General features: G+C 39.7%; 1 protein-coding gene across 20 annotated transcripts in view; it reads right to left on the reverse strand.

Moving 5' to 3' along the window:
- GABRA2 (gamma-aminobutyric acid type A receptor subunit alpha2) overlaps positions 1 to 12,878 on the reverse strand; it is a 146,753-nt gene extending 133,875 nt beyond the window's left edge. For 4 of the 20 annotated variants that reach the window (NM_001377154.1, NM_001377146.1, NM_001377145.1 and 1 more), the window contains exons 1-3: positions 12,840 to 12,878; positions 11,214 to 11,294; positions 8,652 to 8,767 (exon numbers count right to left, since the gene is read on the reverse strand). In NM_001377154.1, the coding sequence (NP_001364083.1) occupies positions 8,652 to 8,741 (90 nt within the window). In that variant the 5' untranslated portion in view covers positions 8,742 to 8,767; positions 11,214 to 11,294; positions 12,840 to 12,878. Of the gene's footprint in view, positions 1 to 8,651; positions 8,768 to 11,213; positions 11,988 to 12,312; positions 12,707 to 12,839 lie in introns of those variants that run through there. The other 16 variants (NM_001377152.1, NM_001286827.3, NM_000807.4 and 13 more) reach the window with 7 other exon arrangements.

A 15,322-nucleotide genomic window follows, 5' to 3' on the forward strand; every position in this document is an offset into this window, starting at 1 on the left:
CGCCCCGTCTGAGAAGTGAGGAGACCCTCTGCCTGGCAACCGCCCCGTCTGAGAAGTGAGGAGCCCCTCCGCCCAGCAACCGCCCCGTCTGAGAAGTGAGGAGCCCCTCCGCCCAGCAGCCACCCCGTCTGGGAAGTGAGGGGCGTCTCTGCCCGGCAGCCACCTCGTCCGGCAGGGAGGTGGGGGGTCAGCCCCCCGCCCGGCTAGCCGCCCGGTCCAGGAGGTGAGGGGCGCCTCTGCCCGGCCGCCCCTACTGGGAAGTGAGGAGCCCCTCTGCCCGGCCAGCCTCCCCGTCCGGGAGGGAGGTGGGGGGGGTCAGCCCCCCGCCCGGCCAGCCGCCCCGTCCGGGAAGTGAGGGGCGCCTCTGCCCGGCCGCCCCTACTGGGAAGTGAGGAGCCCCTCTGCCCGGCCAGCTGCCCCGTCCGGGAGGGAGGTGGGGGGGTCAGCCCCCCGCCCAGCTAGCCGCCCCGTCCAGGAGGTGAGGGGCGCCTCTGCCCGGCCGCCCCTACTGGGAAGTGAGGAGCCCCTCTGCCCGGCCAGCCGCCCCATCCAGGAGGGAGGTGGGGGGGTCAGCCCCCCGCCCGGCCAGCCGCCCCGTCCGGGAGGGAGGTGGGGGGTTCAGCCCCCCCACCCGGCCAGCCGCCCCATCAGGGAGGTGAGGGGCGCCTCTGCCCGGCCGCCCCTACTGGGAAGTGAGGAGCCCCTCTGCCCGGCCACCACCCCGTCTGGGAGGTGTACCCAACAGCTCATTGAGAACGGGCCATGATGACAATGGCGGTTTTGTGGAATGGAAAGGGGGGAAGGGTGGGGAAAAGACTGAGAAATCGGATGGTTGCCGTGTCTGTGTAGAAAGAGGTAGACGTGGGAGACTTTTCATTTTGTTCTGTACTAAGAAAAATTCTTCTGCCTTGGGATCCTGTTGATCTGTGACCTTACCCCCAACCCTGTGCTATCTGAAACATGTGCTGTATCCACTCAGGGTTGAATGGATTAAGGGCGGTGCAAGATGTGCTTTGTTAAACAGATGCTTGAAGGCAGCATGCTCGTTAAGAGTCATCACCACTCCCTAATCTCAAGTACCCAGGGACACAAACACTGCGGAAGGCCACAGGGTCCTCTGCCTAGGAAAACCAGAGACCTTTGTTCACTTGTTTATCTGCTGACCTTCCCTCCACTATTGTCCTGTGACCCTGCCAAATCCCCCTCTGCGAGAAACACCCAAGAATGATCAATTAAAAAAAAAAAAATTTAAAAATTAGCTGGGTGTGGTGGCACACACCTGTGGTCCTAGCTACTCAGGGGACTGAGGTGGGAGGATCACTTGAACCCGGGAGGTGGAGGCCACAGTGGGCTGAGATTGAGTCCACTGTATTCCAGCCTGGGCAACATAGCAAGATTCTGCCTCAAAAAAAAAAAAAAGTAGGCAATATTTTCTGGGCCATGCACTTTACTGACATCACCTTGAATTTTGCCTGACACTTGCTGTATGGGGAGAAAGTGCTTCTATCTAATATAATACATACCAGCGCTGCCACATATTCAGTCTGCCTTTCCTATAAAACAATCACAAGCTATATATCTGGTTAAGACAACCAACTGAGAAAAAATTCTGCAAAACTACCTCACCCTAACTATTTCCTAAGAAGCCTATCTTAGTCCCATTCTGCAGCAAGGAGTGGGCAAGCAACACACAGTGAGGTGTATGCAGAAACAATAAGATGCTTGTTAGTCATGCCTCAAAATATTAAAAAGCGTCACAAAAAGCTGTACCTAACATTACCGTGTTTCTAGTTTAACCTAGCATGCACTGTGATGAAGTCCATCAGCATGCTATTTCCATGCCATATGGAGAGAAGTGGGATAGCCCCCAGGCAAAATTCAAGAAACTGACTCTGAAAGCTGTGTCCACAAGTCTCCAGCCTCCCCAATGGCATCCCACTTCAGGCACCCAAGCACATGTCTCATGCCTCCCACAAAGTAAATTTAAATAAATAGGAAATGACAAATAACTTGATATCAGTCATTTACACTTTTATTAAAAGCTATTTACATACGTGCGAAATCATCCCAATTTATTTTCATTTTCTCACTCATGAAATAATAAAATGCAGTGTTCCCTGTGACCTTTAGGGAGCCTAGTGGGTGGATCTCATGCGGAGCATTAAAGGGCTCTGAAATCTTCTTATGCGGAAGGCTTATTCTGAAGGTTATCCTACTCAGTGAACTTTAGGAGACCCCAGGAATCTGAGTCTGAAAGGCAGAGAGACTAGATTCTCAGCTGCCTCATGCTTCTGAAGGAGCATCAGCCTTGACTGCAGCTGCCTGATTGAGGAGAATGCCAAACATCACAGCTTTTCAAAGAAGCAGAAGCTTTAACATCTGGAGTTTACTCTGCCTTCATCTGAGACTAGAACTACTTAACAGCTCAGCTCAATCTCTTCTTTCTACTCATCTTGCAACCTACCTTTCCCTATCTTCCCCTCGCCTCCACAGTTTTATATACTGAGATCTCAAACCACTCTCAGCATGTTCTCTCTCTCTCGATGTCTCCACCACCCATAATCATAAAGATAAGTATGATGTGATCAAGCATCAGGATATATACTCTAAAGTTTCAAGACTCAGAGGTTTTGCTGTTGAGGTGTCTGGTACATCCCAGCTTAGGGTGGTGACTATGCTTTCAATTTTATAATATGTCCCTAAAATCATCATTTATATCATATAATGAGCTTTTATTCTGTAAATACAGCTTTGCTTCTATAGGCAAATTCATTATCTTGAATTGATGGTGCCAAATTTTTATATGTCATGACAGTAATCGTGAAGATAAATGCATCATCTTTTTCATTGGTTTTGTTTTCAGGGGTTTTGTTCATGTACAAAGATGTGCCCACACAATAAGACTGAATGCATAAGAAACACACAAATAACTTCTTTCTTTAAAGCTGGATCCTGTATGCCCCAAGTTTATCATGTTTTGGAAGTCAAAGCTTTTATAAATTAAATGCGACATGGGTTGATATATTCTATTTCATTTCTAGTAGAAGTGGTAGTAGAACCAACAATAACGATAATAATTTCTACATGTATTGAGTTCTTACTCTGTTTGCCAGCCACTGTCCAAAGGGATTAGATGTAAAAAGTAAAATAAGCCCTCAACAAACCAATAAGCCTTGTAATTTTACAAATAAAGAAACTGAAGCAAGGAGAGGTTGAGCAATGTGCTGAAAGTCATATAGTTAATATATAATAGGAACAGAATTCAAAAGCAGGTACTGATCTTAACCATTACTTCATGAAGCAATACAATGCTCTTTTGAGGTCAGAATTCCTCTTAGGTTCTGGGAGAGATCAGATTTTTTGGTATTAATTTTTGCCCACTCAGTAGCCTCTATTTCATTTTTTTATAAATTTGAGGAGTAATAAAATCCATGGAAACATGTTATCATACATCTCTCCACAGTCTAAGGATAAATATCCAAGAGTAAATTTGAAAACTGACCATCAGACTCTAAGTCTGTGTTCAGACCTCAAGTTTTTCATGATTTTTAAGCATAAAGCATCTTCAAGGTTTCAGAGTATAAAACAAAAGTACCAGGTTGGGAGAGGGTGGTTCTAACTAGCCAACCTCCTCGAAACAGCTTTTCAAAATGCAGTTAAGCATGGTGCTCAATCTAGATTTTCCAGGCTGAATCTATAATTTAGATTTCAAGGCTTGTCATAGCTAATAGTTGTTACTCTTGATCATGTGGATGCCAGCTATCATAAATATATGAGGCCTGTCTACACATTCAATTTTCCAATGACCTATAAAATTGATCCGAAATAACAAATGTTGCTCCTTTTATTCATTTAACAATGTGAAAGCCTCCTCTGAAATAGAAAAATCCATGGGAGATACCCCGACTTGTTAGCTCTGATGACTAAATTGAAGACAAAGAGAAGACTTGATACAGTTATTAATTCTAGCTAATCTGCATCTACAGTCTTGTTAGATAAGATTTTGAGGCAATGCCATGTCAATTTTTCAGGCCCACAATGAAATAAGACTACCAAATGCATAAGGCCTACCAATATTTTCTTGACATGTTTTTCAAAGAATATTACTTTCTAACATAATATTCTCCTTGAAGAATTCTCCTCTGCTATACCTAACAATACTAATTCCTATCAATTGTATGTCACATTGCACTTTCTTAAGAATTTCAATGTACTTGAGCCATATACTATTCCTGCGAGATATAAATAGAATCAGTGGAACTCCTCCTCCCACTTCACAGATGAGTAAATTAAGTCATAGATGGGATAAATGAATCACTCAAATCACACAGTTAGTTCATGGCAGAATCACAGGTACTGTAAATCAGGAGTCTGAGTAATTGGTGTAATAATTATCCCAATTCACCAAGAAATCAACTTAAAATATATTGGTGTTAATAGTGAGAGGCTGGTGTAGTAATTAAATAATCACTCCATTGATTTTAAGGATGAAGTCAACTCTATAGTTGATCATTTTCATGGTGGCACACTGAAAGCAAAAATGAAATCAACTAATAAAATGGAAAGTCATTCAAGAGATATTTTGTTGAGTGCTTACTATGTGCCAGGCACGGTTCTAGATGCTTAGGATAGATATATCAGTGAATCAAGCTGCAAAACAAGCAAAAATCCCTGACCTCATAGAGCATACATTCTAGCAAAAGAGACAAAAATGTGCAATTAATGGTAATAAATTATATATATATACACAAACATACACACACACACACACATATATATATATATATAAAGTGCTAAAGAAGCACAAAGAAAAAATGAAATTGGGCAAAAGGGATCAGGATTGCTGATGGGTAGACAGGTTGGAGTTTCATTAAGTTGGTCAGGGTTGACCTCGTTGAGAAGGTGAGATCAGTGGATACACCAGGGAAGAGAATACAAGCAGGGAAAAGGCTCCACAGAGTATCCCAGTGTGTTCAAAGAGCAGGAAGGAAGCTAATGTGACTGAAGCGATGTTAGCAAGAAGGAGAGTTGTGTGAGGTGAGGTTAAAGAAAGAGTGGGGAGAAAAACCTTGCAGGGCCTTGCAGGTCACCACAAGAAATAAATCCAACTTTTATTCTGAATGACTAGGACACCATTGCAAGGATCTGAGCAGTTGAGGGGCATGCTCTGACTTAAATTTTTAAAGGGATCTATTATTAATCGTTAAATGCCTTAAAATATGTTACTCAATATATTATATAATCTTTGTCATATAAATGAATCACAATGGACTCTCCTTCTCTCAGAATAAAATTCTATTATTCCCATTTTCCCAAAGAAAATATCCAGGCTCAAAATGTCTACAATAAGAGCTAGTAATGATAGAGCCAGGTGAAAAGAACAATTTTTCTAACTCATAGTTCAAAACTGGTTCCTCTTTTCTATGTACTCATTTATATCATAGTTATAAAGGAAAGAAAATAGCAATTGAGACTAATTAAATAGATTATCCATCAACAGAGATGTGCAGTTTGATACATTAAAATCAAATTGAGCCCATTTTTCCCTTATTATTCATTTCTGGGAAATAATGATACAGGTAATTTCCCTGAGTTTTCTATTTGAAACGACATGTGTGCATTCAGACTAAAAATGTTGGATGCAGAGGTAATTATGATAATAATTTAAACTTGAAACAGTACATTTAGCAAGTTCTTCAAAGTCTTTTAGTTATTGTCATTTATTAACTGTCCACTAAATGCCAGTCGCTATGCTAAATTCATTGCATATATTATATTTAATATTCATAAAAAATTTAAGAATGTCATTAGAAATCCTGTTTCACAGATGACAAATATAGATCCAGAGAGGCTAGCGATTGAAAGGTCACACACTGCTTAGCCCCAGAACCAGGATTTTACTAAATCTCCAGTCTAAAGCAAAGTTCTCTTCATTAAGAGCGATACTCAACATACCACCTCAACATTCCTAACTAAAAGGTCAGCCAGATATGGGTAGTCCCATTTTCCAGACAATGAGCTGTTCACAGAAAAGTTAATCAAGCATCAACATTTATTTTATGACCACAATATGCAAATCAATATTTAGTTGCTGAGAAAGGAGGATTTATTATACAATATCTTGACTCAATGAGCTTCTAATCTTAATAAGGTAACAAGAGAAACATAAAATGGTAATAAATCATATATGATAGCACATAATATGTACCAGGAGACATAGTGCCAGTGACTGGTTAAAAAAATTTGAGAGAAAATTTAATCTGGGTGCTTCAATTCAGTTAAGAAAGATCTTTACTAAAAAGAACTGGTGTTAAGATGATTTGCATAGGAAAGGTAGAGTTTAGATAAGCAGAAGGGATGAGGAAAAAATGATTCCAGTCAGAGGAGATCATATGACTAAAAGCCAAAGGAATAGATGAGAATGAATTATCAAGAGAAAATAAATAGATGTGTTTGAAAGGCAGGAAGAATTGGAGGTGGGGTAAAGTGGTAAATGAAACCAGAGAAATAGACTGTGGAAATCCTTGTTAAATTAGCAATTTAAGGGAGGAGAGAAAGAATTGATATCATTGAAATGCCAATATGTAGCACATGCTTTGTGTACACTTTTTGTTTATATAATCAACTCAACAACCCTAAAGGTAACTATATCACAGCCACAGAAACAGAGGTGATATGGCCAAGGCACAGCTTTGTGTGTGGATGGAGCAGAATTCCAGTCTAGACCTGTCTGCCTCCAAGGAATATGTTCCTTCCACTATCCCTCGCCACCATCTACCAAAGGAAATGGGGAGCCACTGTTGGCACTTGATCAAGAGAAGAGAGTGACATATGAAAAGGAGTATAAAGCTAAAAGAAGACTGACCTGACTGTGAGATATTAGCATATGTTCAATATCAGAGGATTGAGGAAGGAAGAGAATAACTCAAGAAAAGCCACTTCATGTATTGCATTAACCTAATTAACAAGGTAATGTAAATCTCTATTTGAATGCAAGCGTTGGAAATAAAAAGGATGCAAGATTTTACAAAAGAAATATAAGGAGATCAATGGCAATACATAAGTCCTCAAACAGGTAGTTTCTACTACCTAACCATATACCCAGAGGATAAATATTCCTCGTAAAAATTCAAAGAGACAAAGTCTACAGGCTAACTTGGATATTTTAAAATTTGACAGCAGGTGATTTATTTTAAAATAATATGATCTATGCCTTATGAAAAACATCTGCCTTAGTGCAATATGCCTCTTAAACCACGATTGTGAATTATGGGAACCTTACTTCTTACTTACTAGGCTTACTTCTCTTATACAAGTTTGGCCAATAGTTCATTGCCACATATGTTAACCTGGATAGTAATTCCTTATGTTCGTGCTTGTTAGGCATATTAATTACTAATCAGATATTCTTTTCCTTTTTATTTTTCCTATTAGAAACTGAGCATATATTAAACAACTGAATTCTTCCTTCAGGATACAATGTGTCATACCTGTGAACATTATTCCTCTCTGGGATGTCTCTCTTAAAATGTAAGATATCACTCAGGGATTCAAGTCAAAAACTAATAGAAATTAAATGGCATATTATTGAACCAGTTGGGTCTCTTCCAACTTTTTTCTTACCCATGGACAACCCAAACCATACAATTGCCTAACATATATATATATATATATATATATATATATAAACAAAACTTATATTTTTAAAAGAATTATTTGCATATATATTCAGGAATTTAGTCAGACTAATACAAATCTTTTCCAGCAACTTAGCATTGCAAAGTCACCAAACCCGGCAATAACCAGGTTAACTACATAAATCTTGTATTAGTATCAACTGTTCAACTAATTTGTCTTAATTTTGAATTAACTGTGAAACTAAATGTCTTAATGATTATGAAACAAACAAGTGATAAATGTGATCATTAAAATTTAACATATTAGCCAAGCCAAATTTTCTTTCCCTTTTCGAATAAAAATATATTTATTTTTCTGAATTAAAAATTTTAATTTTCTGAATATTTATTTTATTTTTCTGAATAAAAAATGTTTAAATTTGAAATCAAACTGTGCCACAATCCAAAACTTTAGACCTATGTCTAACGTATATCTGAAATGTCTTTGAAAGTTTCAAGAATAACAAAGTTGTGCTGTATTCTAGAAATATCACATGCAAGTGTAAAGAAGTATCATCATAGAATGCTAAAAAGTGTATTCGTTAAAATACAACCACTATATTCTTAAATTTTTTATGTTCCTCATTTCTGTGTATCTGAGCTGACATGAAAATATGATCAAAGAAAGTAAATATACTTTCTTTACACATGAAATATACTTTCATATGTATATCTGCTCAATAATGCTAGATTTTAACATACTCTAAGTGTGAGAAAGTTAATTTAAAAACTATTCATGCAGAAAGTCTGGGCTCCATATGACTTTAGGCATTCTATGAAAGATATGTTAAATACATTATGTATGTATAAAAGGAATCACAGACAATATTTTTTCATATATCTTACTTTCTATTTTCTATAATTTTATATACACAGTGATGCATTCATATATAAAAGTATTAAAATAGGAATATTACCCTTAACTTTTAAAGGCATTATTTTACGAGAGTTTTAAAAGAGGAAAACTATTTTTACCTCCCAGTCCTGGTCTAAGCCGATTATCGTAACCATCCAGAAGTCTGTCAAGAATTCTCGTAAAGATGGTAATGTTATTTTTAGCCTCATCTTCTTGGATGTTAGCCAGCACCAACCTAAACAGATAATTTTAAAAGCTGATATATATACATATGTGTGTTTTGCAAATGCCAACATGCTTTTCTTCCTTAATTTAAATTTTAACACTCCCTGAGCTATTAGTACCACCCGTTTTCCTCCTTTTTTTTTAACTTCTATAAATATCGGTTTGTCTTCAAAAAAGGTAAACATGAAATTGAAATAGATTCTAAATAGTAGATTATCAGAAGTTTGATGTTAACATTATTTGAGATTCTTGCCCCTTTAACATTTTATGTGGACTATTCATTTTCTTTCTAAATCCATCTCCTGGGATATATTATGATTGTAGATTAACACATGCAAACACTATTAGTATTGCTATTCTACAGTTAGAAAATTCCAATAATCAAACAGACTCCTGAAATAACCGTTTTCAATATTAATTGGAAAATAAATTGCTTTTTTGGAGGTAAATATATTTTCTATCTCTCTCATAAGTGTCTTTCTTTTTCATATGTATTTTTCTCTTTTAAATCAGGATTTTTTCCTTACTTTGGGTATACCTCCACCCAATGGCCAAGTGCAATATAAGCATCAGGGAAACTCCACTGGCTATGTGCCAGGCTCCATGTAGCCAGGAGGTGGAGGTGGGCTCTGAAAGCATCAGCAACACATACACAGCTGCAGAGATCCTTAGAGCCTAGTTCTTCCTGATTGGTCTCTGAGAAGAGCAATATTGTAAAGATTAAAATGCCTAGTTACTTTGTTTTGGTGACAATTTTGTAGAAAGAACAAATGGTCTTAAAATATCACCAGAAAAGCTTTAGAAATTGTGATTTTCTCCATTATTTCTCCATCATAAAGCCAAACACCTGATTCTGTGACATGCAGCAATTTGTTGCAGAAGCAACTAAATGTATAAAACAGAATGTCCCTTTTCATTGTCTTTTTTTTTCTCAGAATGAATCAGAGATTTAAATTGCTGGCCCCAAAAAAGAATCATTTATATAATAGAATACAATACTGGCATAAGCATTACTGGTCAAATATAGAACAGAAAACTAGTTGAGAGAAGTATGGTTAAACACTGAGATTTTCAATGATTATTAATTGATAATGGATTGTCCACTCTTTTAAAATAAAAGACAATATGTAATTACATTCTGATCAAGGTGCATTGTATAAAATATTATTAAAAGTGTCCATTTGCATTTAAATGATTACACACCTAGTAGCTATAAATAGTCACAATACATCAAAAACTGGTAACCAACTTCAAACAAATATTGTCTTAAGAGCAGAGAAAATATTAAAGTATTCAAATGAAGATAAACATCTACAAATTAAATAAGTGTATCACTTTATACCCTCTAGCCTCAAAAGTTTCTGTATTGCCTACTTAAGCTAATTTTAAAACCAATAACTAAGATGTTCATAAAGTTCCACATATTTTCATTTGAAAGTGTTTCTTAATCACATTTTATATTTTCTTTCTCAAATCAATATGTAGTCATTAAATTAGTAGATATTTTCCAAATGAAAGCAAGGCTTTATGAGATAGATGGCGTCTCAATTCTAAGAAATGTTTTCATACTTTGACCATTACTTGGACAATTAAATAAAAAGTTAAAAGAGAAATAAAGGTATAATAAAGACTTATTAGATTTTTAAAAATAAATAGTTACAAGAACATTCTTATAAAACTTGTATCTTAAGTCTTCTGGTATTTTGAGAATCATATCCTAAAGGCATTAAAGAAAAGATGTCCACTGATGATGAAAATCAGGAAAGTCTACAAAATAAAATGAAGTTACTGAAAGCAATAAAAATTAATTTCATGTTTTTATAGCATAGGCAAAAGAAAATTCATTACATATTTTAAATCAGTACTCCTGACTGTAAGCATTTGAGAAAAAAATCTTAATAATGCAAAAAGTCGATGATTAATAAATCTAGCTTTTGTTTCATTGTTTGTGATTGTGAAGTTGTATACTACCTCCACCTAGAGGTTTAAGACTCACACATCTTTTGGGTTTTCTATGGTGACTAAAGGAGCCATACCATTAAAAAAAGAAAAGAAAAAGGAAAAAAAAAATTAGTTAACACTCAAATCACTTAGCTGGTACTTTTCTGTCAGCTCGAAGGAAAACTTGGCTTCCTTATCGAATCCTGGTGTTATATTATAAGTGCCTATAATTAATCACTTCAATTCCTTGTAGGAATATGCCATTGAAAGGATTTTCTTTTCTTCTGTGAATGTTCTGCATGGAAAGTGTTTCTGTTTGCTTTTGGATCTTATCACTAAGAACGAGAAGCAGTGAAGTTTTTACAGTCTATTACTTCATAGTTCACTTTCCCCATACACCCCCTTTTCTGAGAAATAATTCTTTAAAACACCCTTGATTTTCAAAAGCATTAATGGCCTACAAGAAACACATCTTTGCCCTGAATTAAAATAGTCAAATACAATAAATATCTCACCTGGCAGGGTCCCACACCAAGAAAACAAAAAGCAGGAACTGCATGTTGTAGATGTTCAATTTTGTCTTCATCACCGCCGCTCTTTACAAAGCCATGGAATGAAAAACAAAATACACTTAAAATTGCCTTCAGTTTCACTATCCAAGTAACCCCAAAGAATATCCTTTTAGTTAGGGATTCGTGTTAAAGCTATGGAGATTACTTCCTGGACTCTGTGTAGGACTTGATGATTGAGAGACGATTTCTTTTTTATGGACCCCCACCCCCACCCTTTTCCTTTCTGTTTCTTTCTTTCTTTTTTTCTTTCTTTCTTTCTTTAACAGCAAGATGACCAAGTAATCAGACTTCTCTCTGCCAGGAACGTCCCCCAGCCTCATCGTCAGCAAACACTGTTTTGCGCACACGTAATAATAACACCCTGGACTTTAAACTGGCATAGCAGCTGGAAAGGGAATGGGTTGGAGGGGAGGGGAGGAAAGGAGAGGAGAGGAGAGATGGGTACTTCACGCCACAACCCCCTCAACCAAGACCACCTCCGCAACCACAGCGGGAAAAGCTAGGGGCAGGCAGCCCACTTTTGCAATTACTCTACATTACAGTGAACTGCGGTCCTCACGTCTTCTTTTCTTCACTCCCCTTAACAAAATAAAATAAATAATTTCCCTTCCTGCCCACCCACGGTTGCCCAAGACCAAGTCTTAGAGGCAGCCGGGTTCCGATCAAGTGCTGCGAAACGACGCGTTTGACAGCTGCTCTGGAGCCGAGGATCACAATAAGAGAAGGCGCGTGAGGCTCCGGCAGCAAACACCAGCCAGGCAGGCAGCGGTAATCACAGTGAGCAAAGTTGAAGACTATAAAAGAGCCAGGCTAACGTGCTGCCGAGCAGGTGTCCTGGATTTTATTGTAGTTGCAAATATGCTTCTGGTGATAAGTATCGAAATTATTTTTTAAGTGCGCTGGGGAGGAGGGAGGTGCGGGAATTGAGCCTCCTCCGTTTCCAGGGAGCCTCTGAAAGTGGGGTGGGGGGAGATGAGGCATGCACGCGAGGCAAAGACAAACAGGAAAGTGTCTCTATCGGGACCAACGTGTGCGACCCTACCTGAAACGGCAAGCAGAATTCGGTGTTTTCTTCCTTTTGCCCTGATCTTGACGAGATAGGAAACTTGGGAGAGAGAGAGAGAGAGAGAGAGAGAGAGAGAGAGAGAGAGAGAGAGAGAGAGAGAGAGACCGAGACTGCAGCAGCCAAGAGAGCGTGGAGCGATGGGCTGGTGGAAGCCGGAGAGGAGCGCTAGGAGCCGCGGCGGCGGCGCGAGGTGTAGAAGGAGGCGAAGGCGTTCGTAGTGGCGGTGATGGGCGGAGGAGGAGGAAGAGGAGGAGGAGGAAGAGGAGGAGGGGGAAAACGATGACAGGAGCTGGGGCCGGGGGGGGAAATTGGGGGGACGCGGGCGGAGGCGCGGTGCGCGCCGGCGGTGGCGGGCACGAGCCCCGCGCCTGGAGGAGGAGGAGTCAGGCCGGGTAGGAGGGCTAAGGAGGTTCCCGGGAAGGCAGGGCCCCCCCTCCCCCCCCTCCCCCCCCCCCACACACACACACTCCCCTGCCTCGATCCCTCGATCCCTGGTAACTGACCGTCGCCCGCCTGGCACTAGCAGCGGCGCAGACCCGGGCGGCGTCGGGCGCCTGGGTGCGCTCGGAGCGCCGCTCCCCTCGCCCACACCTCGCCGGAGGAGCGGAGCCCACGCGCAGCCTCGGGCTGCTCCCCGAGGCCGCTTGCTGGGGCTCCCGAGAGGCCCCAAGGTTCCTGACAGAGCTGCTGTTGGGTGTTGGTGTAAAGCCGGGAATGTAGTGTGGCGGTGATGCCCTAGATCCCTGGGGCCGCGCCCTGCCGCCCGTCCCCCAACATCACCCTACTGTGGAGCGACGTGGCTGCTAAGAGGTAAAGAGGTTCCGCTCCTGCTGGAGGGCAAGGGGACTAATCACGCCTTTACTTAGTCATCAACGCATCCACGCAGGACCAAGTTCAAAGCATGTTGCGTGAAATCAGACAGCAGGAAGTTTATTTGATTCCTTAACCCTCCTGATATACCATTCATTCCTTCACACTCCCGCAATAAAGACCGATTTCCCCTGAAAGCTCTGAGAGCTGGAGAATTCCCTTGAGCCAGTCAGTAAAGTCCATTTGCAGATTACACACACACCTTGGGAAACCTCCCGCTCACTTCCAGCAATCCTTTTCCAACCTCTTTTCACAGGCGCCCTCCCTAGCAGGTGATCAAACTCAATCAACAGCTCCAAAAAGTTTACATTACCCAGGAGCAAAAACGGACCTGCTGTGTTTCTACTACCTCTGCAACTCATTCCCCAGTGGGAGGAAAGGTAACAACGTTTGAGGTTTTCCCCCTTTAGGGCTTTTTGCTGGCAAAGGGACTTGGAATTCCAGTCCCATCTTACACTTTCAGCATTGTGTGTTTGATCTGTCTCATTTCTGTTCTGTTTTATCTGAGGCGATAGAATCCAAACGTGCAACTTGAACAACAAAAAAAGGGGGGGACATTTTCCTTTTTGTACTGCACAGAAGACAGAATGTTATGCACATTTTACTAAGGCAAAGCAGAGCCAGTGTTTATCTCCTCCAGAAGTTGTTATAAACGTTAGACACTTTAAAGGAAAAAAGAGAGAGAGATAAGTATGCTGATACGTTTCTGTCATTTTACATTCAGAGTCAATATGTGCCAAACACTTCAATTTTGTTAGTTATGCACCAAAAATTCAGATGTTTTTCCTAGATGGTGCAGTTTTTCTAACAGGCACTGCTAATCTACAGTAAATTTTAGCTTTGCTTTGAAGATTATGGGAGGAGAGTAAAACCTTTACATTGTAAATATTTCCAGCTGTCCTTTTTAATCTATTAATCACCATTTTCTGGATGAGCATTTAATATGTTACAACCTAAACAAACATTTGCTCTCTTATTTAGCTTGCTCTGTGAAGAATGGAACACCACCCAGCTCTCTCCTCCATCATTAATATTCTTTTCCTGACTTGCCCATTGCAGAGTCTAATTGAAATTCACAAAGATAAAAAGCATGCCATTTAAAACCTTGCAACCAGAGAACCTAAGTATCTTATACTTGGCATGAACAGTTCACTTGCTACTGTATTTTCCTATTTTCCATTTCTGTGAGTCAATCTTCATTAAAATCTCTATCACCTCTCCATTTATATTACTAATAAATTGTTGATATTTTGATAATGGAAGTTAAGCAGTGTATGGTTTCTTCCCAGCCTTAATTGCTATGCTCCAACAAAATTTTTCTTTAATGAATGTCACAATTTTTGTAAATATATTCATATATTATTCTAATACTTATAAGGTCTTCTCCTGGATTCTAATATCAAATTATAAATGTTTTAATTTTTTTCGTTCAACATTTATATCAATTGGAATTGTTTGTTCTGAGGAATTAGCTTTTCCCATTAGCACCCTTATTAAATATGTAATTTCAATGACATATGACCCTCTTATATGACACTTCACAAAGTTCAAGCTGCTTTGAATGTTTTTCACCATTTTGGTTTTTTTTCTGTAAGTGTATGTTACTACATCCCACCGATTTAGAGATGCATTTACTGGAGAATGACCCACAGTAAAAACTAAATTTAAAAGTTTTCATTATAAAACCTTGATTTTTAGTTCTCACAAAATGTTTTACAATTTTAAATGTTGGATAGCTGTAACTTAAACTTCAAAGCACATTAAAGGAAATGGAACTAGAAAAGCTGATTGTGGGCAGCAGATTTCTGGTGTTTAGCCATATCTATACTGCTATTTTGTTGTATTACTAGCCCAGACAAATTTCTCTGGAAATTTGGAGGATTATCCAGCTTCCTCAAACAGCTGACAAACTCAGCCAGATTTTCTTCTCTGCTCTTTGTGATAGAGTGCAGGTTAACTGCCTGAGATCTGAGCCAGCCTGTGTGGGTCGTGACTAAGCTCTTCCTACCCACTCCTTTCAGAGCATGTCCTAAGGCAACCAATCCTGAGGAAGAATTGACAACTAATTGGTTGCCAGTAAATCCATTCCCATCCAGGCTTGGGCAGCACAAAACCT

This window comes from Homo sapiens, chromosome 4 (genome assembly GCF_000001405.40).
Source record: "Homo sapiens chromosome 4, GRCh38.p14 Primary Assembly".
Lineage (NCBI taxonomy): Eukaryota > Metazoa > Chordata > Mammalia > Primates > Hominidae > Homo > Homo sapiens.